Below are 24,836 nucleotides of genomic sequence, written 5' to 3'. Positions count from 1 at the left end.
GCCTGTAGTCCCAGCTAGTGGGGAGGCTGAGACAAAAGAATCACTTGAACCTGGGAGGCGGAGGTTGCGGTGAGCCAAGATTGCGCCATTGCACTCCAGCCTGGCGACAGAGCGAGACTCCGTCTCAAAAATAAATAAATAAATCAGAAGTCCATGTAAATGTATCTAGGTGTAGGGGCTGAGGAGGCAGAGCAGTGGAGGGAAAAGCTTCCCCAGCCTCCAGTCTCCACACTCGGGTGCTTCCTGCAGCCACCCTACCAACCTACCCAGTGGTTCCTGGAGATTTGGCAGGGAGGCACACAGGCATGAAAAATGAGAGCCAAACACTCAGTTCAAGGCATCCAAACAGCCCCTGAGGTTGGCTGCACAACATTAGGAATGTACTAAATGGGCCAGGAGCGGTAGCTCATGCCTGTAATCCCAGCACTTTGGGAGGCCAAGGGAGGCGGATCACTTGAGGTCAGGAGTTGGAGACCAGCCTGGCCAACATGGTGAAACCTACCTCTATTAAAAATATAAAATTAGCCAGGCACAGTGGTGCACACCTATAGTCATAGCTACTCGGGAAGCTGAGGCAGGAGAATCACTTGAACCTGGGAGGCAGAGGTTGCAGTGAGCTGAGATCATGCAACTGCATTCCAGCCTGGGTAACAGTGAGATTTGTCTCAGGAAAAAAAAAAAAAAAAAGAGAATGTACTAAATCCCACTGAATTGTTCACTTTATTTTTTTTAATTAATTAATTTTTTGAGACGGAGTCTCGCTCTGTCGCCCAGGCTGGAGTGCAGTGGTGTGATCTCAGCTCACTGCAAACTCCACCTCCTGGGTTCAAGCAATTCTCCTGCCTCAGCCTCCCGAGTAGCTGGGATTACAGGCATGCACCACCACGGTCCAGCTAACTTTTGTATTTTTAGTAGAGAGGGGGTTTCACCATGTTGGTCAGGCTGGTCTCCAGTTCCTGACCTCAAGTGATCCACCCACCTTGGCCTCCCAAAGTGCTGGGATTACAGGGGTGAGCCACCACGCCTGGCCCGAATTGTTCACTTTAAAATGATTATGTTAGGTAAATTTTACCTCAATTTTTAAAAAAGTCCCTGAGTGCTGTCCTCTCACACACCCTACAAACAGCCTTTGGGCCTAAGGGCCCCCTGCTTCTTGAGAGCCTGCTGACTCCTGCCAGTGCCTGCCTTCCTGTGGTGGTAGGCCAAGGTCCCAGGCTGCCTTTGCATGGAAAAGAGCTGGTGCACTTTATAGCAACCCATTGGCTCCTGACTCCCATTATTAAGCCTGATTCATGCCCATAAATTGAGCAAAAGGTCTAAATGAAGACTGGGCATGGTGGCTCACACTTGTAATTCCAGCACTTTGGGAGGCCAAGGCGGGAAGATAGCTTGAGCCCAGGAGTTCCAGACCAGCCTGGGCAACATAGCAAACCCCGTATCTCAACAAAAAGATAAAATACAAAATTAGCTGGGACCGGTGGCACACACCCGTGGTCCTAGCTACTTGGGAGGCTGAGGCAGGAGGATTGCTTGAGCCCAGGAGTTTGAAACTGCACTGAGCTATGATTGTACCACTGCACTCCAGCCTCGGTGACAGAGCAAGACACTGTCTCTAGTAATTTTTAACAAATCTAAATAAAGGTGCTCAGCCAGGACAAGTTAGGAAGTGCTGGAGTCTCTAGCCTGGGCAACACAGCAAGACTCTGTCTCAAATATATATAAACACATATACGTACATACACACACACACCACAAATATGTGAAGTACTAGAGTTAAGAAAAGTCTTCTCTGGGGCCGGGCGCGGTGGCTCACGCCTGTAATTCCAGCACTTTGGGAGGCCGAGGCGGGCGGATCACGAGGTCAGGAGATCGAGACCATCCTGGCTAACATGGTGAAACCCCGTCTCTATTAAAAATACACAAAAATTAGCCGAGCTTGGTGGCGGGTGCCTGTAGTCCCAGCTCCTTGGGAGGCTGAGGCAGGAGAATGGTGTGAACCCGAGAGGTGGAGGTTGCAGTGAGCTGAGATCACGCCACTGCACTCGAGCCTTGGCGACAGAGCAAGACTCCGCCTAAAAAAAATAAAAGTCTTCTCTGAATTCTGCAACATAGACTGGCATTCAATTTAGTTTCAGGAGGTGTCAAAAAGCTGGCTAGCAGAAGTTCGAGACCAGCCTGGCCAACATGGCAAAACCCTGTCTCTACTAAAAATTCAAAAATTAGCCGGGCATAGTGGCGAATGCCTGTAATCCCAGCTACTCAGGAGGCTGAGGAATGAGAATCGCTTGAACCCGGGAGGCAGAGGTTGCAGTGAGCCAAGATCGCGCCAAAAACAAAACAAAACCAAAAGATAGCTAGTAGTTGGGATGAGGAGACAGAAAGATAAGAGAAACGTGTTTATTTCTCTCCTCTCTGTCTCTTTTTTTTTTTTTTTTTTTTTTGAGACACTGTCTCACTCTGTTGCCCAGGCTGGAGTGCAGTCACCATACCTGGCTAATTTTTAAATTTTTTTGTAGAGACAAGGTCTCCGTATGTTGCCCAGGCTGGTCTCAAACTCCTGGCCGGAAGCAATTCTCCTACCTGAGCCTCCCAAAGTGCTGGGATCACAGGCATAAGCCACTGCGCCTGGCCTATTTCCCATTTTTTAACTACTTAAAATGGTTTCCACATTCCTACTCCTTAGGGGTTTTGGAGAAGGGATTGGGGAAGCAAAGAGTTCATCTGTTTACTAAGGTGGTCACAGTGTTATTTAGATCTAGGAGCCCCTGAGACCCTCGGGATGGCAGTTTCTAGCCTAAGGAGGCCTCGGGACTAGACCGGTTTCTCAAAGACAGAGCTGCGTGTGGTGCCTTTGTCATATCAAGATGCTCTGGATGCTTGTTGGTCTCAGATTTTCCTGGGAATCCAGTGGAGTGCAGATAACACGTGTATGTGTCTAAGAGAGAGTGCATGTGTACACAGTACGTGGGAGGCAGCTACCAACGGTGGCTTGCCCCAAGCCCTGCACCCCTAGGGATGGTTCAGCTAAGGGGAACAACAGTCACCACTGGCCCAGGACAAATGACTGAATGAACATTCCAAGGCTGCTCTGCGCCTCAAGGACAGGGGCTTGGGAACCCAGAGCTGGAGGGAGGGAAAACAGAAAAGGCAGCCATCCTGCCCCCAGCCTGGGAGATGCTAGTCAGGCTGTACAGGCCTAAGGCCTGTGCTCCAAGGTTTAGTCAGCTCAGCTGAGACCTGGGTGGAGGCTGGCTGAGCAGGAGTCAAGATCTCCCGCGACAGCCTCCTATTACCCCCCACTCACCGCCTACCTAGTCCTCCCCTTCCATAAGAGCCTTTAGTTAGGTCCCCTTTGTTTCTTCCTCCATCATCAGCTACTTAGTTAACCTTTGTTGGATAAACAAATGAGCCCCTGGTTGGGAGCCTGGAACCATATATCTGGAGGTATAGAGGTTCGGGGCTAACTAGGGCCAAAGTCTGGGTGAGAAGAGGGAGCAGCTTTGGGCCAATCCTTAGTCCTGTTGGCTCCTGGCCAGAGAGGGGTTCTAACCACAATACAAACACTGCAGCCTCCAAGAAGGTTCAGAGATACAACTCCCAGCTGCTCCGCCGCTCAGGCAGTCTGAAGAAGTCACTGCTAGAGCAAGGGCCAAACTGTGATGTCACTAAGAGGCAGGGTTCCTTTATTCAGAGGTCAAGTCTGAGGAGATTCCTACTGAGCATGCCCAAGCTAGACTCCCCTCCTTCCCTCCTCCCCCTGCCCAACTCAGTAGAGCTATCTAACTGCAGACAAACAGCTGCTATCCACTAATGAGAAAATAAATGCATGTTGGCTTGTGGCCCTTGCCATGGGCCTCAACACCAGACACTTTACAGAAGGGGCAGGTGAGGGAGGAAAAGGAACGGAAGGAAGGGGGACCCTGGGATGCAGAGGGAACATCACAGTTCCCACAGGCAAGGGCTGTAAAGAATGAAGCTTCGGGAAGCATCCCAGGGGTTCCACTGTGATCCACTTGATCACAAACAAGAAGAAATTGCAAACACATAAGCAAAATGCTAAGTATCACTTTGTTGCAACTGACATCCCATTCAAAGCACAGGTCAACACATTCTGCCCCCAGCTAGGTCTACTAGTGGGGCTGCCGCCCCCACACAGAGGCCCACCCTAGATCCCTAGCTACGAAATAGGTCCCTGTGGGCTCCCAGGGCCCTGAAGAGGACGCACACACTTGCAGTAAGGGGATAAGAGGAAGTGGCCTTTGGACTTTTTCAAGCAAACTGAGATTCTTGAGCTCTTTGAATGAAAGCAGGTGAAGAGGGCAGATGGCCCTCATGGGAGCTGTTCAAGGTGGAAGGAGATGAAGAGGATGTCCTCACAAGTTCAGGAATCAGAGGCTGGCCCCAAGGACAACAGTGTCAAGTCTGGACCATGCTTACCACTGAGAAAGCGCTTCATGGTGTCGCTGCTGGCCAGCTTCATGGCTGTCTGACCCGAGTAGGTAGCCAGTGTGGGATCGGCCCCATAGGACAGCAGGAGCCAGATGGTCTCCAGGTTGTCATTGACCACCGCATCATGAACTGGCCTGTGGAGGTGATACAGGGTGAGGATAACAGGGCCCAAGTGGGAACTGGGGTGTCTACACTTAAGGCTACTGCATCAGGGGAAAAAACTGAGCTGACCCCCAGGTAACCTTGGTGTAATATGGTTTAAGACTTAGGACAAGGGAACCACCTGTAGCCTTGCAACTCTCCACTACCATCTCCCCAACTCCTCCTCTCTCTGTACCCCCTTTTCCTCCCTCCCATTACTCTCTCTCTCTTACGTTCCCCTGACATCTTGGGACAGTTCCCATGGCACAATGTAGCTCTATTGGTAGTTGTGGAGTTCACTAGAGGATGGGTCCCTGACCTACAATAAAGTTAAGGCAGCTGCAGGGAAGCCGGGCGCGGTGGCTCACGCCTGTAATCCCAGCACTTTGGGAGGCCGAAGCAGGTGGATCACTTGAGGCCAAGAGTTTGAGACCAGCCTGGCCAACATGGTGAAGCCCCATCTCTACTAAAAATCCAAAAATTAGCTGGGCGTCATGGCGGGCACCCATAGTCCCAGCTACTCAGAAGGCTGAGGCAGGAGAATTGCTTGAAACCGGGAGGCAGAGGTTGCAGCGAGCCAAGATTGTGCCACTGCATACCAGCCTGGGCGACAGAGTGAGACTCCATCTCAAAAAAAAAAAAAAGGTGGGGGCAACTGTAGAGGGATACTTCAGTTCAGGGAACTGAAGGCCCTGGGTGACTCCCTGAGAGCAGAGATGAGCAGAAGGGCTCCACACGCCAGGCAGAACCCAAGCGGAGCCCCCTCCTGGATCTGCAGCTCCTGTCTCTAATTTGCCCAGGAAGTAGGCTCTCTGGTAGAACAGAGGAGAATGGGTACAATTTCTCTAAGACACAGCAGGTGTATTTTTCTTACAGTGTCTAGAGATCAAATTTTAAAAATCAAATCTGGATATTACCCTCAGGTCAACCTCTCAGTTTCTATTCTGTCTGAGACACGTCCCCCACCAGGATGAGTTGAGGGAAGACCGAGTGGTCTTCCTGGTGACAGCTACACATGATGGGATGATCCCTAGACAACCACAGCCTCCCCTTAGTAACTGATGCGGCCTGGCCATCTGGGAACTAACTCATTGGCTCCTGCCCTAAACTGGTTCCCTCTTGAGCCTATAGAAGTCTTTCCAAAACTCCTCCTGTCAAGGCCTCTCTGCAACTCGCAGTCTGGTGTGCTACGAAGGTTCAGGTTGAGGTAAGGTCTTTATTTTTTTATTTTTTATGTTTTTTTGAGACGGAGTCTCCATCACCCAGGCTGGAGTGCAATGGCATGGTCGCGGCTCACTGCAACCTCCACCTCCTGGGTTCAAGCAATTCTCCTGCCTCAGCCTCCTTAGTAGCTGGGACTACAGGCACATGCCACCACACCCGGCTAATTTTTGTATTTTTAGTAAAGATGGGGTTTCACTATGTTGGCCAGGCTGGTCTCGAACTCCTGACCTCATGATCCGCCCGCCTTGGCCTCCCAAAGTGCTGGGATTACAGGCGTGAGCCACCATGCCTGCCAGCGGCAGGCAAGGTCTTTTGAGTGAGAGGCTGAGCTGGGAGTGAGGGCGGGACTGGGGGGAGATGCAGCCCTCTTGCCTCGTGCCGTCCTGCGCACTGCAGTTCACGTTGGCCCCGTGCTCCAGCAGGATGTTCAGGATGTCGGTCCAGCCCCGGGAACAAGCCTCATGCAGGGCTGTGTAGCCAGCATTGTCACGGTGATTCACATCTTCACTGTCTTTCTGGAGGCAGTAGAGAACAACATCCTGTGGGGACAGGGACAACTCCATGAGCAAAGAGAGGTCTAATTCTTGAACTTATATAACCCTGAGACTCAAAGCTCCCCAAATATCTGAGGAGTCTCAGAGCCTGCCCTTTATAGCAGGGACACACTTCAAAATCTTTCATTAACAACATCAGTCCTGAGCCACAATTGCCAGGACCCCAGCTCTGGGCCGTTTCCTTGGCAGTGGAGAGACTTTTTTTTTTGAGACAGTCTCACTCTGTTGCCCAGGCTGGAGTGCAGTGGCGCAATCTCAGCTCACTGCAGCCTCTGCCTCCCAGGTTCAAGCGATTCTCCTGCCTTAGCCTCCCAAGTAGCTGGAGCTACAGGCGCACGCCACCACGCCTGGCTAATTTTCGTATTTTTAATAGAGATGAGATTTCACTATGTTGGCCAGGCTGGTCTCCAGCTCCTGAACTCAGGTGATCTGCCCACCTTGGCTTCCCAAAGTGTTAGGGTTACAGGCGTGAGCCACCGCACCTGGCCTGGAGAGACTTTTTTTATGGCCAAGGACACTCATCTGGGTGGTGGTATTTGAGGTGAGGTCCTCAGAGAGGCTGACCTGCCCGCCCAGAGCTCAAGCACTCAGACCTCGACTCCCTGAGCTTGGCAAGCCAGCCCCAGACCAGAGAAATGAGATGTGGTGGAGAGCACAGCCTCTGGTGGCAATTCAAGAATAAGGAAGACAATTGTTTTAAGGACTATCCCTGGATGCACGTCTCGGCAGGACCAATGTTCAAGCCAGGACAGTCAGTTCTAGCCCTCCCCTCAAATCAGGATAATCCAATAGGCTGGGTGCAGTGGCTCACGCCTGTAATCCCAGCACTTTGGGAGGCTGAGGCGGGCAGATCACCTGAGGTCAGGAGTTTGAGACCAGCCTAGCCAACATGGCAAAACCCCCTCTCTACTAAAAATACAAAAATTAGCCCAGTGTGATGGCAGGTGCCTGTAATCCCAGCCACTCAGGAGGCTGAGGCAGGAGAATCCCTTGAACCCAGGAGGTGGAGGCTGCAGTGAGCCGAGATTGCACCGTTGCACTCCAGCCTAGGTGACAGAGCAAGACTCCATCTCCAAAAAAAAAAAAAAAGGATAATCCAATACTGCCATTCATCCACACTTTAATGACTGCCTTCCTTGGATTGAGATGATGCTAGGACTACAGGTGGGACACCAGGGACTTGAAGCACCCTAGCTAGCATGGGCTGAAGCTGGGTGAATGAGGTGAGGAGGGGAGAGGCTGGCAGCATTAATGGCTGCCTGGCTTTCCAAACAATGGATCCCATAGCTGCACCATTGCCAGTCCTCTCTGGGGCACTGGGGAGATGGGCCACTCCACCTTTCTGTCTGACAGCTCACAGGCTAGCTGGCTAGAGCGGCTGTGTGTGCAGCCTGTGTCAGGGGTGCTGCTGGCTGTATATAGAAACTGTCAAGCTCCTTTACCCGGGAGAAAGCCCGAGGCTTCCCACCCTCCTCACCAGTGCAGATGTCTGCCTCTTCCCCCAGGCCCAAAAGGGCTCCTTCCACCCTCCCTGACAGGCTGCCTTAGTGCTCCAGCCCTGTCCCATTGGCCCCTCCAATGGTTTCCTGTTGGCTGGTTTTGCCCAGGGTACAAGACAATTAAATTAACCTTGACGGCAGGGATTGGTCTTGATTTTTGTTTTAGGTCTCCCTCGGCAGCTATCCAGGCACGCACACTAGGTGCTCATGAAAGATGGGCTGCTTGCCAGTGAGACACTGTCACGTCAGCTCCCCAGAGCTGACCAGTCTGGCTGGGAGTGTGGCTGGTGTGAAACAACTCAGGTATAGGGATGGAAAGCCTTAAAACCAAAGGCACACTCTGTAACTAACCCAGCAACTCCACTGCTAGGAGCATACCCTGAGGAAATAATCCATATGGTAGGCAAAGATACACACTCAATAAAAAGTGGGGAACAATGGAAACGTCCAAGGTGTAACTGAATTATGGTGAATGAGTCAGTCTTCCACCTACCCTGGCACTTGGGAATCAAAAGACCTTGGTTTGAATTCAGACTCATATGCGTAGTAGTTGAGTGATCTTAGACATATCAGTAACACTGCAAAGCCTCGATTTTCTCACCTATAAAATGGGGATAATAAATCTACTCCATCGGCTTACTGTGAGATTAAATGATACAAAGTAATCAGGCTCTTCACATGACAAAAGAAGTGCTCAATAAATGCCAGCTTCCTTTCTTGCCTTCTTTCTAATCTATAGGGTAGTAGTATAAGGTGGGGTTAGCTCAGCCTCGCCCCTCAAACATGATCCTGGCCCCTCTGCGAGAGGCGAAAATGAGGGGAAGCTGGAGGAGGAGATGAAGAGTGAGCAATAAATCACCCCTTGTTCCTTTCTGAGTTGGGAAACCACCATACAGAGAAATTTAAGACAACGTGGATATCCAAAAATTGCGTTCCTGGTCTAGGAATATACTGCATGATACCATTTCAATTGCATTCATCCCAAATTGACATTCAAGCAAGTTTGCATTCTCACACGCTGACATCCAAGTGATGAGGGGCAAGGCAGCCCCAGGGCAATCTGGGGTGTAGAGGGAGGCCAGCCTGGGTTCAAGCACCAGAAGAGCCCATGGAGAAAAGCTTCTTCATAGATGCTCAGACCAACGGCGCCCTGTGGTCAGTCGAAAACTCCCTTACCTTATAGCCAAGACGCGCCGCCCTCTGCAGGAGGGTCTCACCAGCATTTTTGTTCACTATGAGCCGACGTGCCTCTGGGGGGATCTGCCGGGCTGTAGGTGACTCTGAGGCCTCCTCTGAGCTGGCACTTCGGGACTTAGAGGGTGTACATGGTTCTGTGGGTTTCACTGGGGTGGGAGATTTGGGAGATCGTGTCTTCTGCTGGCTCCAACGACCTTTGCCCTGGAAAGCAGAGATGCAGTCCTAGGTCAGGTCAGGCCAGGCAGCTTATCCATCCACCAGGGTCATCACTGCCCTCAGTGGCCAAGGCCATCTCACCTTATCTGTGTCCATGCTGTACTTTGCTTACACTACCCTAAATGGCCGAGACTACTGTCAGGTTTGAGGCCAGACGCTGGGCCAGGCGCTAACCATGTGAAGTCTCTCCAGGATCAACACAGGTTCCCATGAGTTTGTAGCCGGTGGGGAGATATGAAGAGGTTCAAATGCTCAACCCCATAAACCAAGGAATGCCACAGGGATTGTAAATCAGAGATTGAGGGGATATCCTAGCTTCTCTCAAGACTCTGCATGCCTTCTTTACCTGCCTCAATCACCATTTATTGAGGTTTTTATAAGTCCTATCTGTAAATAGGCAGAAGCAAACTCTGAGAGTAAAGAGAAATGAGACAGCTATCTTTTTTTTTTCTTTTTTTGAGACCGAGTCTCACTTTGTCACTGAGGCTGGAGTGCAGTGGTGTGATCTCTGCTCACTGCAACCTCTGCCTCCCAGGTTCAAGGGATTCTCCTCCCTCAGCCTCCTGAGTAGCTGGGATTACAGGTATGCGCCACCATGCCCAGCTAATTTTTGCATTTTTAGTAGAGAGGGGTTTCGCCACATTGGCCAGTCTGGTCTCGAACTCCTGATCTCAAGTGATCCGCCTGCCTCGGCCTCCCAAAGTGCTGGGATTACAGGCATGAGCCACCATGCCCGGCCGGCTATCTTTGACTAGTCACAGCTGCTAAAGCTTCACACTTGTAGCAAAAACCTTCCTTCCACATCCAGTCCTCACAGAATGTTCCCATCTTCCATCACACTGTGTCCCCATATCATACTCAGACTCCCCTGGGGTGGTAGAAAGATCTAAGGCAGACCTGGGCTTGAACCTTGCCTCTGCCATCCCCTAGCTAGAAGACCTGGGGCAAGGCCCTCCCTCTCTGAGCCCCACTTTCTTCCTTGCAGGGTCTTTGAGATAATGAACTACAAAGGCTCCAGAACTGTGAGCAGGGTAGGTGCTCACAAAACACTAGGAGAGGCCGGGAGCGGTGGCTCACGCCTATAATCCCAGCAGTTTGGGAGGCTAAGGCAGGCAGATCAGTTGAGGACAGGAGTTCAAGACCAGCCTGGCCAACACAGTGAAACCCAGCCTCTACTAAAAATACAAAAAATCAGCTGGGCGTGGTGGTACACGCCTATAGTTCCAGCTACTCAGGAGGCTGAGGCATGAGAATCACTTGAGCCCGGGAGGGGGAGGTTGCAGTATGCCAAGATTGCGGCACTGCGCTCCAGCCTGGGTGATGGAGTGAGACTCTGTTACAAAAAAAAAAAAAAAGAGAGAAGAAAAGAAAAAAAATTGCCGGGCATGGTGGCTCACACCTGTAATCCCAGCACTTTGGAAGGCTGAAGCGGGTGGATCACCAGATGTCAGGAGTTCGAGATTAGCCTGGCCAATATGGTGAAACCCCATCTCTACTAAAAGTACAAAAAATTAGCCGGGAGTGGTGCCAGGTACCTGTAATCCCAGCTATTCGAAAGGCTGAGGCAGGAGAATTACTTGAACCTGGGAGGCAGAGGTTGCAGTGAGCCCAGATAGAGCCACTGCACTCCAGCTTGGGCAACAAGAGTGAAACTCCATTACAAATAAATAAATAAATAAATAAATAAATAAATAAATAAATAAATAGAAGAGATTCTCGACCTGGAGGTGATGCTATAATTGGATGAAGCTTTGGGGGGCACTGGGAGAGGTGGCATACTTTGCATGTGGGAGGGACAGGAATCACTGGGGGAGGCCAGAGGGCAGACTGTGGGAGTCAGCCTCTAAGATGGCCCCAGTGATCCCCTGATCTTCATGCTCTTATGCACCTTCCTCCTACAGTGAGTAGGGCTGACCTATGTAACCAACAGGAGACTGCAGAAATGACAGTAGGTGTCTTCTGAGGCTAGGGCCTAAAAGACACTGTGGTTTCTGCCTTGCTCTCTTTTGGATCACTCGTGGGGAAAGCCAGCTGCCGTGTCCTGAGGACCCTTGAGCAGCCCACTGGAGAGATCCATGGGGCAGGGAGAGGAGGCCTCCTGCCAACAACCAGCATCAATGTGCCAGCCATGCGAGCAAGCTACCCCAGAAGCAGATCCTCCAGTCACACCCTCAGAGGAATGCTGCCCTGGCTGACACCTGACTGCAACCTCACGAGAGACCCCAAGCCAGGCCTAGCTAAGCCCCTGAATTCCTGACCCCAAGAAACTGTGTGAGATAACATATGCTTATTGTTGTGTAAAGCTGCTAAGTTGTATAGTAATTTGTTATACCCCAATAGATAACTAGTATTTCCGACTTATCCAAACCCCTCAGAACATCAAGGTCTCAGTTCAATCCTCTGTCTTCTACCATATTCCACAACACTCTGGGCCCTCTTCCTCTGTGTAGCCAGAGTACCAAGTCTGAACCACGTAATCTGATGCCTCACTTTCTTCTTTCCACCCAGAGTTTCACGCGTAAGTCTCACCTCTCCTGCTAGATTTTAAGCTCCTTGGGGACAGGGTTCATATTGTCATCATTTTTCTGTTCCTTACAGCACTTAACTCAGGGCTGGGCACATTATTATTATTAGTTGTTGTTGTTTGTTTGTTTTTGAGACAGAGTCTCGCTCTGGCACCCAGGCTGGAGTGCAGTGACACGATCTTGGCTCACTGCAACCTCTGCCTCCCAGGTTCAAGCAATTCTCCTGCCTCAGCCTCCCAAGTAGCTGGAACTAAAGGCAGGTGCCACCACGCCCAGCTAATTTTTGTACTTTTAGTACAGACGGGGTTTCACCATGTTGCCCAGGCTGGTCTCAAACTCCTGATCTCATGTGATCCACCTGTTTCAGCCTCCCAAAGTGCTGGGATTATAGGCGTGAGCCACCGCGCCTGGCCACATTATTACAACAAATATTTGTTGACCTGTTTCAAGCCAGCTGTGTGCAGAGCCCTGGATGGCCAGAAAAGTTGCCTAAAAAGACATCAAGTCAGGAAAGGAGCAGTAGAGAACAGAAGATGAGGGCTCGGGGCATTTGTTTCCTCTGGTCAATCCCAAGACAGCGAGAAGCCATGATCAGTCCCCATCCTGAAAGGGCAGAGAGGTACAAGCCCTAGCAGGAAGGCACTAGCTATGAGGGTACAATGCTGCTTTATCGCCAGGAGGATAGAATGTACAATGGCAGGACTGGAGGATGCTGGGTAAAGTACCAGGGTTTCACTAAGCCAAGCCAGGAACCAAAGGGTGACTCTCCTTTCTGGGGGCCAAAGCTGCCAGAGAGCAGCAGCGAGGCAAGTTGCCTGGGAGGGGGAGGAGCAAGAACAAGTGGGGGGACCCCTCCCCCTCTCTCCTTCCCCCTGGCTCTGAGCCCCTGTGGGAAGAAGCCCTTGGCCAGTGCCCCGCTTTCAGTGTTGCAGGAGCGTTCCCCGCCCTCCCCCACCCCTTGCTTCCTGCTACAAAGCCCCATGCCATGGGGGCAACCAGAGCAGGTGGTGGTGACTGGGAGAGAAAGGAAGGTGGGAGGGGGAAAGGAAGGTCAGAGGGAGGGACAAAAACCTCTCCAGGAGAACACTGCAGCGGACCCACTGCCAGGCAGAATAGCCAGACAGAAGCATGTGAGTGTGCTGCTGAATCTCGAGCGCTGGTTACCTTTGTGTGGGCTGGGGCCATCCATCTGAGTGTCTGGGGGAGGAACAGGGGGAAGGGGAGGGGGAGCAGGAGCCTGAGACGCCCACCTTTTCCCAGCGCTGCTTGTGGAGGCAGCATTTTCTGCCCAACTGCCCCCTTCCCCCAGTGCCTCCCAAATACAAACAGAAGCCCCCCATTCAGAGCCTGAGAGACATATGGAACGAGCCATGGCTCCAGAGGCAGACAGGCCTTTTTCACGTCCCAACTGCATCACTCAGGACCACCCAATAACCTCGCACAAGTCCCTTAACCTCCTTGAGCCTCAGTTTCCTCACTACAAAATGAGGATAATAAAGGTGCCTACCTCCCAAGTGCCACTGCGGGAATTAAGAGCGATAACGTGAATGAACTGCTTGGCACAGACCAGAGTTCCCTGCTCTTTCCCTGGGCCCCTGTCCTCCCACTCTAGGGGGTCAAGGGAACGAACGCTGCTACCCTGCCACGCTATGCCTCTGTTCCCTCATTCTTGCTTCCGCCCGAAGCACAATGATGCACAGCAACCCTCGGAGAGCACTTTATGGTTATCAAAGCCTGTCACAGACATTGCTTCCTTTGTTCCCCCAAGCACCCTTGTGAGACAGAAAGGGCATGAAGCAGCAGCTCCATTCTTCAAGATGAAGAAATAAGCTTGAGTCTTGTCTGAGCTGGAAAGAGGTTCTGGGAGGGGGAAGGGGAAAGGAGGGGAGACGAGCACTTGGGGCTCCCACCTCTTGCCAGTGCCATTCGGGGATTCCAGTAAGAATCATGACCACCAAAGCGCTAGGCGTGATGGCTTCCGCCTGTAATTCCAGCACTTTGGGAGGCCAAGGCGGGCGGATCACTTGAGCTCAGGAGTTCGAGATCAGCCCGGCCAACATGGTGATTTTTTGTATTTTTGTACTAAAAATACAAAAATTAGCCGGGCGTGGTGGTGGGCGCCTGTAATCCCAGTTACTCACAAGGCTGAGGCACGAGAATCGCTTGAACCCAGGAGGCGGAGGTTACAGTGAGCCGAGATCGTGCCACTGCACTCCAGCCTGGGCGAAAGCGTGTGACTCTCAAAAAGAGAGAGAGAGAGAGAGAAAAAAAAAAATAAGAATCACGACCACCAAAACAAGCTGAAGATGGGCTTTTGTTTTTGGCTGTCAATGACAAATACATATTATAGGTATACATTTGAACCCGGACCCTCACTTCTCTCAAATGTAAAGTTAACCCAGGTTGAAGACTGATTTTTTCTAAGGATACAACATGCAACCTAACACCAATGGCATGAACATCAGACCCAAAAGAGATGTTGATTTGGGATGAGGGTTTTAGGAATGCTTGCCTGGCTGTTGATTGGTGACTGCCCACTCACTAGCATCTACGCTTCCATGAGAAGCTAAAGAACTGGGAAGCAGGGTAGGGGAGGAGTAGCTAGAACCTGGGCCCCAGTGGAATTCCTTCAGCCTCACCCTCAATCAACCTTTGTCTGGACCTTAAAATCCTTCCTCCTACAAGTTGTTTTCTACCTTGATTGACTCAGAAAGTTCCAAGATTGGTTTCCAGTAAGTTAAACCCAGACAAAAGCTTCTTGATTGGATGTTAACGAGCTACTCAAGCTAACATCCTGCCATATTCTTTAACTCTTCCTTAACTCAAAGAAAATCTAAAGATTGTAGAGGAAAAGCCATCATGGGCCAGACCTTAAAATTAACTATAACTTTAGTTCCCATTCTTCAAATCCACCCCCAACCCTTCGAGAACTAGTTTGAGAATGCCTTACTAAATATGGGTTAATTTGATCCTCCCCATCCCCCACCCCCCTCCTGCCTCCTCTGACCCCCCGCCACACACACCTTCTACAATACCCCTTGATAGCTACACACCTTTGCCTCTTCTGAGACGGTTGCCATGTGCTTGGTCTTGCACTTTCGTTTTCCTGATGGCTTTTCTGAATTTTCAAGGCAGGCTGGCTCTTCCAGGTTATTTGGGAGGAAACCGTTTGGTGAATCCGAGATCCCCTGGACTTTGTTGGGCAAGAGAAGGTTCCTGTTCCTGAGGCGGTGCTCCAAACTTTGGGAGGAGGAAGTCTTCTGCTTACGGGCCTTTAAATCTGAAGGCAAGAAACAGGAAAAGAACGGATGTCAGAGAAATGGAACACAGAAAAGCAACGCCTTCCTCTAAGATGAATCAGAGGACTTTGGGGATTAGAACTGCAGTGCAAAGTTGTATAACTATCAGCTATCGATATCTAGTGCTGTGCTGACTATTCCACTAAATACTTCTTGAATGAACACACCATACTTCAACATCGAAGTCCCTCATCTACAAGCAGGAGACAGCTCCCAGCCCTGCCAGCAGGGGGCGGCCCATCTGGCTAGCCCTAAGATAAGGGTAATTTTAACAGGATTTTTCCCAGAGCCCAGAGCAAATCAGAATTTCTTTTTGCTTTTTTCCCATTCCCTTTGTCTGTTTCTCCAGTCCCGTATGAAAGCAAATCTGGTGGTCCTGCTGACATTAAGTATCAAGTACATGGGGAACAGGGAGGAAAAGGTAGAAGGCTGCCTTCATGGCCTCAGCTCTACTCACCTGACTGCCCCATTTGTCACTCTCCGAGGACACAAAGATCAAAGCTACAGGAACTCCCTGAAACTAGAAGGCATCATGAGCCTACCTAGCTGGCAGTCAAGGGCAGAAACCTGCTGCCTTTTCTGGGTGAAAATCAAGTCACTGGTGTCACTAGAACACACCAGCAACATCTCTAATTTAGCCACAGCTTGCTGAACAAAGCACATTCTAATTTCAAAAAGGCCTGCCGGGAACTCCATTATCAAGAGCTTCATCCCACAGGGTCTGTCCTAACCCCGTGTGTAGGGGCGACTGTGTGTTTAACCTCATCTCTCAAGATTAGTGCTGCTTGGCTTGGCCATCAATTGTGTGATTGGCTGGGCTCAAGTCCTAATTGCTCTGAGCCTCAGTTGCCATATCTGTAAAATGGGGAGAATATAATCTACATCACAAGAGTGGTATGAGAATTAAATAAGATAATACATGCAAAACCCCTTTCAAAAAGTGTTATAACAAGTAAGACATCATTATTGTGTTATTTAAGCACAAGCTCTTGAGGTGGAGCCATGCCCGTGTGTTTTCCTCCCCAAAGGAATGAACACCATGCCTAGCAATTAGTGAAATGAAGGGACTGAGATTGAAGAGTTCTCAACTCGCCTCTCTCAACCCTGACACGGGCTCTCACATGTGACATTGACAAAGGCAGATCCAGATGTGGAAGCCATCATTTCAGCACAAGGAGTTGGCTGCAGCTTATGCACAGTTCCTGGAAGGCCAGCTGTCATGCCATCCCTTTCTCCCAGCTAGCCTCAGCCCGCTAGTGGGGCCCCATAGCCTGTCCAGGAATTGCTGTACTACATGGTCTCTAATAGCACTTCCAGTCAGAATGTTCTAAACTCCAGCTTTTGATGCGACACATTTGGGCTGAGGCAAAAGAGGAAGGAACAGAACCATGCCTTGTGAGGACCCCAGGAAACATGAAGAAGTCATATTACAGTGTTCAATGCTACAGGCAAAGAAACAGCCCCCCACCTTGTTTACCCAGGGCAGGGCAGGCTCGGGTGTTTATTCAATTGCAGAGAAGTGAAGGCTTTATAGTAGCCCACAAAGGACTAGAGAGCGGAGGTGGCAGGTGTGTGAGTGGAAGTGGCTCTGCCTACCTGCTCCGCAGGTCAAGAAGGGAGATAACCAAAACCAGGATGAAAAGAAAAGTCAGGAGGCTCAGACAGAAGCAGGGTAACCTGCCTCATTTGGCCTTTGCCAAATTCCTGCACGAAGATGCCATCATCAGATCTGGAGGAAAGTAACCAGACCATGTGCCAAATCCAGCTGCCTCAATGCAAAACCCTTAGACACATCCACAGAGGAAGAATGACCTACTTTCCAACAACTGGAGCTGCCCCCAAATCAAGTAGGATGCCTTGATTGGTGGTGTTCTCTGCGTTACTGGAGGTGTGTTCATGAAAAGGCTGGCTGGCTACCTGTCAAGAATGCTGTGGAGATCTCTATCTTTGCATTGGGTGGCAAACTGGACCAGGCAACCTCGAAGGTCCTTCTGGTTCCAAGCGCCAATATGTTCCACAGGAAGCTTCCATGCTAGGAAACCAGGTGCCATTAGAGAAGATTAGGTGATACACAAAAGCTCCTCTTCATCCTAACACAAGTGGCTGAGGCCAACAGCTTGACAACTCATTCCTGACCAATCTATTATTGCTCTAGCAGAAGAAAGAGAATTGTTCCCACTCTGTCACATAGTTGATGAAAATTAGCTCAATTACTCTCTTGAGCGTAGAGATGGGTATCATATACACCTCCACTTAAACAGAGCCGGAAATGAGGTTAAGCCGTCTTTGCATTATAGCAAACCTGGACTCTACTACCCACTCAATATGAGGTTATTCAGTTTTAGCTAATAAGGAGACAGCGGATGTTTACCGGCAGCTCAGGATGAATACATCATAGGAGGCAATCAATTGCTGCTTCCAGGGTAGAGGTCAGAGAATGAGAGTGAGAGACAGAGGTGTTCTTATAAAACCCAAAGATGTGCTTTTTGCTCATTTAGAAATCCACTATAGGAATGGGCCTGAACAGTACTCAGTGGAACATACTGATATTAGCATCTTGTGACAGTCTGTGCCTCCGGAATGGTATATCACAGCATTTGATGTGGTCAGAGAAAGCCTGGTTTTCTCTTTGGGCTGCCTGCCTTCTCAACTCAGGTCCAACAAAAATGATGCTACTTTGGGTCACCTCAAAGCTTCACTCCGCCTCTGAATAATCACTGTGGCTTTAACGGATAAAGCAATGCTGTGCCCGTTTCTACTTGAAGTTCTTCTGTTGGTTTGAAGAACCCACTGTACTTCTTTTTAGCTTAGAGGCTGCAAGTATCCCAGGAAAGGCAGCCGATGCCCTCTGTCTTCTTGAACCCAAGATTCTAGGAGAGAGAACCCGTCCTCCCAAAAGACTCGACTCCCTCAAGCCAACCAGAGAACTCCCTGGTATCCAGTTGTCCCATGCCAAGGATGTCACCGTGGCCTTGCCCACAGGTTCAGACTTCTATAAGAAACCGGAGGGCTTGGGCCTTCATGTCCTCCGCTCACCTGCAGGCCAATCCGAACTCATTCAATGTCAACCCAAAGCCAAAGGCTCGGAGCTGGAGTTGAGTGACCCCCTCTGGCAGCTGGAGATCATAGCACCGGGTTTCTCTGGGTCCCGAAGCCTTTGGCTGGCGTAGAGATGCCCGAGGGTTCCCAGAAGCCAAACGGGCCGCGGCGACAGCAGAGCCCCTGGCCAGCCTTACCTGCTCTCCCTTTCCGCCGCTGCTCGTCTTCTTGCTCTGTCAGGTACTCCCCAGTCTGATATTTTCGGCTCTTCTGCCGTCTTCGTTTCTTCCTCTTCAGCAGGCCCTCCTCCTCTTCTTCCTCCTCCTCCTCATTGGTGTCCCACATTTGCCGGGCAGCCTCTGTCCTCCAGGGCATTTCTCGGGCTCGCCACAGGTGCCTTCGGCCCTGGCTCAGCAGAGACTTGTCCTGGGCATGGTGGCTGCGATACTGGGTGTCCCGTTGGGTCTTTCTCACCTTTCGACGCTTAGCTGGGGTGGGGGTTACCTCCTCTTCTTCTTCTGTGGGGAAGACTTCCTGGCTTCCCATGTCACTGTCTGCCATGCCAGCAAAGGAGCTACAGATGCTTCCTGTGGATGGGATGTACAGAGGATGGTCAGGTACTTCTTCAAAGGACAAAGCATGGTGTCGAAGTGAATGCCCTGGACTAGGAGTTTGAAGGTCTGGGTTCAAGTTCAGGCTCTGCCAGTTATTAGCTGTACCGTTCGGGAAAGTTCCTTCAGTGCAGTCTCCTCATCTATAAAATGGGGATACTGTTCTCCCCTTACTGACCTCACAGGGCTGTTTTGAGGCTCAAATAAGATTTTTCACGCATATGTGCTTTACAGAGTCCAATATACCAGACAACATCAAGTATTAAAAACACACACCCTTACTCATCCACGTTACAGTGTCACCTGAATCCACACCCAAAACTCTTGCTTAGCTCTTATAAAGTGCCAAGTATTTTGTGAAGGGCAGGAGAGGGCCACGGGTCCCTGGGAAATCAGGGGCTAGGAGAGGGCAATTGGGGTCTCAGACAGGGCAAGGGAGGATATACTCCTTTTGTGGCACCACCAATCTTGGGGACAGAGCCACCCCGGCCAAGCAGAATCATCACAAGAGAAGAGTCTCAAGAAAAGCGAAGCAAGAAGGAGTCCCTTTCCTGTGATCTGTGACAGAGCCTGGTTGGGTCACGCCCAAATGCACCCAGGCACGCCCACTTCCCTTAAATTGACCCCACCTCCTCCCGACTTGCCAAGAGTTCAGGGGTGGAGCTTCCTCCCAGGCACCTCCCTCCACCCGGTTGTAGCTGTTCCTCACCGCTGGGCAAGCGCTTCCCCCTCCTCCCCCACCACCCCAGGATGGATTGGTACCTTTCCTGCCTTCCTCAGCCACCTTGCCAAGAGGCCATTTTCTCTCTCCACTCTTTCCTTCAACTCTGCTAACAACGAAAGTACATCCTAAATTGGCCTGGTTTCACACTACAGGAGATTTGACACCTTCCTCCTCGGAAGCAGCTGTGAGACACCACCATCTTTCTCCCAAGGCCCAGCTATTAACTCAACAGTCCCCAGACCCAAGCGAAGTCAGCAGAAGAAAGAAATGGTTCGAGGCAAATAGAGTAAGTAGCCCTTGACCAAAGCTTCAAGTTAGTCACACTGCTAAAAGACAGCAAATAACAGCACATTTTCCATTATATAGACTAGGCAAAACAAAGTGTTCTGGTTAATCTAATATTCTGGTTAATACAGAATCATCATAGAGATCACAAAGGGATCACCAATTTCCAAAGAATCAAATACAGTACAATGTGTTTAACACTAAAATGGGACTGGCTGTAATGTAATTGCTCTTTGATAATTCAGAGGACACTTCAGGATTTTGTAAGGCCTCCAGGCCATCATTATGAGCCCCAATTACCACCTCGCTTGCCATGTGCTAAGGTGCCGGTTACTAGAATGTCAGATAACTGAGTTTACACTATACCTTGCTTCCCCATTCTATCCAATTTGCATGGAAATTGGGTGAACTGGGACAACTATCTCCAGCCCTGGATACCAGTGTGGAGGCTAGCAGAAGGTAGTGGTGGCTAGAAAGGGCTAGCTTTTTTTAGTCCCTAGAGGTTGACCAACACAAATTCAGGGAGCCAAATGTGATTCTGCCAGCCCTGACGATTCAATGACTTTTCCAACTTTGAGGCTGCCTGTCACATAGGGCAATAAGACCAAGGTAGAAAGTTAAATGTCTGTGCCTGAGATTAGCCCCAGTAATGACGAGGTGCCAAAGCTTGGAGTTGAACCAGCTTTCCCGAGTGGCACAGGCCTTACCTCTTTCCACCATCAGCTCCCAACAAGAGATGTCAAATCCCTGCTCTGAAAAGTTGAACAAATAATCCTCAAACAGTGGGCAATATTTGAGGACTATTTGTCCCCTGCCCCCACCCAGGGCTCTCTTATCTCTGCAAGGAGCTGGGCATTGTGGCACAGTGAATCAAATTCCCAACTCGACACCTGGGCCCATGGTAAAACTGCTCAACCAGATTTCGATCTCTCTTTTCATAGAAGATGCTGAGAGGGGCCATCACCTTAGTCTCACTCACCAGACTGACTGCGCGTGCGGGTGCTCAGAACCACAGGAATAAAGTCACGGAAACTGCTCTTTGCTTTCTTTTCCAAGGAACCTGGAGTGATGTGTGGTTTGGGGACAGAAGGCAGAAATGTTACAATCAAAGCTTAAAGACCAGAAAGCCCACCTGTGAGGCTCGGGGGAAAGATTGAGAAAGAGTTTGTGTTTACCCTGTGGTTAATCTGGGTTACATTTATTCACTCCCCTTACGTGGCCATCACATATGTGTCTCTTGTAGACAATGAGTGTTTCCAGGTGGTTTTTAAAAACTGAGAGTTTGGTCGCTTTTGCTGATACCAGAAAAGGCAGTGCACAGTATCAATGTGATGGTGTGCCAGAAAGTAGGAAAGTAGGAGGCCCCACTGCCCATAGGACTCTGAGGCTGCTGCACCTCAACAAAGTTCTGCTGGGCATGGTGGCTCACGCCTGTAATCCCAGCACTTTGGGAGGCCGAGGTGGGTGGATCACCTGAGGTCAGGAGATCGAGCCCAGCATGGCCAACATGGTGAAACCCCGACTCTACTAAAAATACAAAAATTCGCCGGGCGTGGTGGCACTCACCTGTAGTCCCAGATACTTGGGAGGCTGAGGAAGGAGAATCACTTGAACCTGGGATGCAGAGTTTGCAGTGAGCCAAGATTGTGCCACTGCACTCCAGCCTGGGTGACAGAGTGAGACTCCATCTCAAAAAAAAAAAAAAAAAAAAAAAAAAAAAGAAAGAAAGAAAGAAAATAAACAAAGTTCTAACTGAGCTGGAGCAGGTCCCAGAGGAGGGCAACCTCAGTGAATCTTGGAGGATTGAGTGAGGTGGGAAGATAGGAACAAGGAGCCAGTGAACAGAGAAAAAACGGCTAAGAACAGATGAGGCCGGACGCAGTGGCTGACGCCTGTAATCCCAACACTTTGGGAGGCTGAGGCAGGGAGATGGCTTGAGCCCAGGAGTTCAAGACCAGCCTGGGAAACATGGTGAAACCCCATCTCTTCAAAACTACAAACATTAGCCAGGTGTAATGGCACATGCCTGTGGTCCCAGCTACTCGGGAGGCTGAGGTAGGAGGATCACTTGAGCTCAGGAGGTTGAGGCTGCAGTGAACCGATATTGTGCCACTGAACTCCCTCTAGCCTGGGAAGCAAAGTGAGACTCTGTCTCAAAAAAAAAAAGAACAGACCAGAAGAGGCAGGTCATAGTCACGTCAGGTGGGCAAGACCATGAACCTGGACTCCTATGCTCAGGAATGCTGGGGATTCTCTCCCTGATAAGGGTGCCCAGAAACTATTAGTGGCAAAACGGACAGGTTAGGGACACATACCAGCCCCGTCATCCCAGATATCCTGTGTGTCCCTAAATGATAATAAACGTTTAAGATTTCTCTAAACTCTCCTAGCTAACTAGCTATTTATTTTTGTCCTTTCAGAATAGCAGTTTTCCAGTATACCCAAAGAAGACAGCGTAATGAACCCCCATTCCGTGGTTTTTGTCTAAATTCTCCTTAAACTTGTTTCTTTGAGCCTAGACCCATCGCGGGGAAATGGGTCGGCTACTGTGTTGTGGGCCTGGTGTTTGTGTCGGAAAACCACTTCCTTCAGCCTTATTCTAGCACCCAGGAGGAGCAGAAGGGGCCCCCGATCCTTGCTCGCTCACCTTAGACTTCAGAGGGGTCAATCATATCTTCTTTCCACAGTGAAGAAGTCTCACTTTTCCAGAGTGAAGGAGTCAGCGCCTGAGCCCCTCTGCCCTCACCACTGTGCCCTGGGGATCCCTCTGCAGCCCAGCCCAGAGGGCCAGGGCCGCGGGGCCTACCTTCCTCGTGGCTGTCGGCTCGTTTTCCTGGAGACTGGGACTCCGGCTTTGTCGGCTTCCGGTGCTTGTGCTTTCCCCTGACTCCATTGTGCTCTTTTCCTGAATCTGAAGCCCCCCTGGGGCTTTTCTTGGTGGATTCCTGGGGGTCACTGGGCAGCTTCCGGCACTGTGGAGAGGTAGAGGGTCAGGTCTGAGGTCAGTTTTGCTTCTTAAGAAAGCTCTCCAGGGGTTGAGCCATGTGTCCCGTTTCTGACCTAGAGGCATGAGCTGCCCAGAGTGGGGGACCAGGGGCAAGGGGCCGTGCACTGCCTTCCAGAGTGGGTGACAGGGGCTCTTTTGGACTGAGTCCAGGGCCCCAGCTAATCCCCATAGGCGTCCACATCCCATCACTTTAAAGAGGTCTACAGAGTCTGCGTTCAAAAGCCAGTGAATAAACACCCAAAGTCATTTTAAAAGGTGCAAAGTCAGGCCCCATACTCTCTGTACCCAAACACCAATGGAGAGACCGGCATTAAACAAAATGCCTCTTCTGCAAGTTGGGAGACTACATTGTTCAAATAACTTCACTGTGAATGGTATTGCACCAACAACTGAAAATAATTCTCAGTACAGGCCAACTCAAGAAAAATTGTCTCTTTTCACGTGTAAATTAATACCAGAAAATAGATTCAACTAAGGCAAGAAGAAAAACATGACACAGGAGCAATTCAAATATCCTCATATTTATAAAACCCAGTGAAAAGGCCCAAGCATTATTCATAATGCCACTTTATACTCTGTAGCACTTTCAGCCTTTCCAAATGCTCTCATCTCTATTATTGGATTTTATCCTCCCCACAACCCTGGGAGGAGAAGCTAATATTATCCCCACTGAACAGATAAGAAAACGGAGGCTCCAAGACAAAGGGTTGAATGACTTGTCCAGGGTAACACACAATCCCATGTGTCCACTGGCTCAGGGACTGCCACTTACCAGGCCAACCCGCAAGTTAGCACATTTGTGCTTGCAGTGAGAAAGACCCAGAATTGGGACTAGGACCCGGGGGTCCTGGCCCCCAGCCCGGGCCTCTGGGCATCAGCTCTCGCTACCTATCTTCCCTGAATCACTTCCTCGGCTGCTTCAGCTCAGCTTCTCCCACGCCCACTGCCTGGCACATCTAAGAGGCACAATGGCTGTGCTCACACACTGCAAGGACACTCTCAGCCTAACAGTCACGTATTCTCACGAGCTTTGAGGTCTCTCTGTGCCACTAAACAAGAAATAGGGCAATGTAGGGATTTCCAGTATTCTAGTATGCAGGGAGTGCAGAATAAGCAAAACGTTGGAACAATAAAAGCAGGTCCGAGGAGGAAAGGAAGGGTTAAACTTGCTTGAGCTGTTTTTCCCCTAAGCTGACCCATGCCTCGCCTGCTAGAAGGTTATCGTGGTGTACCTCCAGCTAAGGGGATGGCACATACCTTACTGATGGAACATTTTCGGGGGCTGGGGCCTCCTAATTCTCCAGGGACAGGGAGTCACCACTACCCATCAAATTCCAGGACTCCTCCTATCCCATGAACTCTTCCTGCTTCTTATTTTCAGCAGAGGCCTGAGCTAAAAATTCAAGTTCAGTTTCCCCCTTGGCTTGCTGCCAGTTCCTACAAACCAAAGTGTTAGGAGGAGGAAAGCATTGGTTGGAAAGAGGAAGATGAGGAACTACTGCTTAAAAACTAACCTTCAGGTACGGCTGGAGAAAAACTATTTTAAGTCAGGGGGAATAAAGTCAAATGCACATACATTTGAACATGTCCTATTTATTTCTGAATATCATTCTTAGCTGGCTCTTTCAAATGCAGATCATTAACTTTTACTTCCGAAGACAAAAACAAGTAAAACAGAACATCTAGCAGGGCGCGGTGGCTCAAGCCTGTAATCCCAGCACCTCGGGAAGCCAAGGCCAGCGGATCACCTGAGGTCAGGAATAAAAATATTTCGCACACTCCAACTTATGCATGAAGTTGGGAGGATGGGGAGACCGTGAGAGATGAACATTCTGGTTAACAGTTTTGAAATATTTTCCAAAGAGCTTTCCAAGGAATGAGAGGACAATAAAATACATCCAGCACCAAATGAAGCAGAACTCTCTCTCTTTGCTGGTGATGCAGAAGGCCCTTTAGGATCCTGAGAGGCCTTGGGCAGGTGGTATTGGCAACAGGAGACTATTTTCACTCTTGGCCAAGCCCTGAAAGGGGCTATTTCAAACAAACCCCTGATCTTAGTTTGCTGA

General features: G+C 50.1%; 1 protein-coding gene and 1 long non-coding RNA gene across 21 annotated transcripts in view, besides 2 other annotated features; one reads left to right on the top strand and one right to left on the bottom strand.

Moving 5' to 3' along the window:
- Positions 1–24,836, bottom strand: part of BCORL1 (BCL6 corepressor like 1) — a 77,759-nt gene that overhangs the window by 14,352 nt on the left and 38,571 nt on the right. For 13 of the 20 annotated variants that reach the window (XM_005262453.5, XM_006724777.4, NM_001441327.1 and 10 more), the window contains 7 exons: positions 22,570–22,735; positions 20,743–20,823; positions 18,341–18,730; positions 14,859–15,085; positions 9,044–9,265; positions 6,187–6,353; positions 4,438–4,583 (listed from right to left, as the gene is read on the bottom strand). In XM_005262453.5, coding sequence (XP_005262510.2) covers positions 4,438–4,583; positions 6,187–6,353; positions 9,044–9,265; positions 14,859–15,085; positions 18,341–18,730; positions 20,743–20,823; positions 22,570–22,735 — 1,399 coding nt within the window. The remainder of the gene's footprint in view (positions 1–4,437; positions 4,584–6,186; positions 6,354–9,043; positions 9,266–14,858; positions 15,086–18,340; positions 18,731–20,742; positions 20,824–22,569; positions 22,736–24,836) is intronic. The other 7 variants (XM_047442344.1, NM_001441329.1, NM_001441331.1 and 4 more) reach the window with 2 other exon arrangements.
- Positions 18,039–18,538: an enhancer, noted in NCBI's record as "H3K4me1 hESC enhancer chrX:129159157-129159656 (GRCh37/hg19 assembly coordinates)". NCBI's record gives its function as "activates a minimal SCP1, AML or CMV promoter by ChIP-STARR-seq in primed H9 embryonic stem cells {active_cell/tissue: H9 hESC(primed)}" and the evidence as "EXISTENCE:reporter gene assay evidence [ECO:0000049][PMID:30033119]".
- On the top strand, positions 19,622–20,822 carry LOC124905216 (uncharacterized). The gene is made up of 2 exons (XR_007068333.1): positions 19,622–19,764; positions 20,705–20,822. It is a non-coding gene; the product is annotated as an uncharacterized LOC124905216 (long non-coding RNA).
- Positions 19,639–19,688: an enhancer, noted in NCBI's record as "active region_29932". NCBI's record gives its function as "activates an Ori minimal core promoter by ATAC-STARR-seq in GM12878 lymphoblastoid cells {active_cell/tissue: GM12878}" and the evidence as "EXISTENCE:reporter gene assay evidence [ECO:0000049][PMID:35858748]".

The sequence above is a fragment of the Homo sapiens genome, chromosome X, assembly GCF_000001405.40.
Source record: "Homo sapiens chromosome X, GRCh38.p14 Primary Assembly".
Lineage (NCBI taxonomy): Eukaryota > Metazoa > Chordata > Mammalia > Primates > Hominidae > Homo > Homo sapiens.
This window is presented reverse-complemented; position numbering and strand designations above follow the sequence as displayed.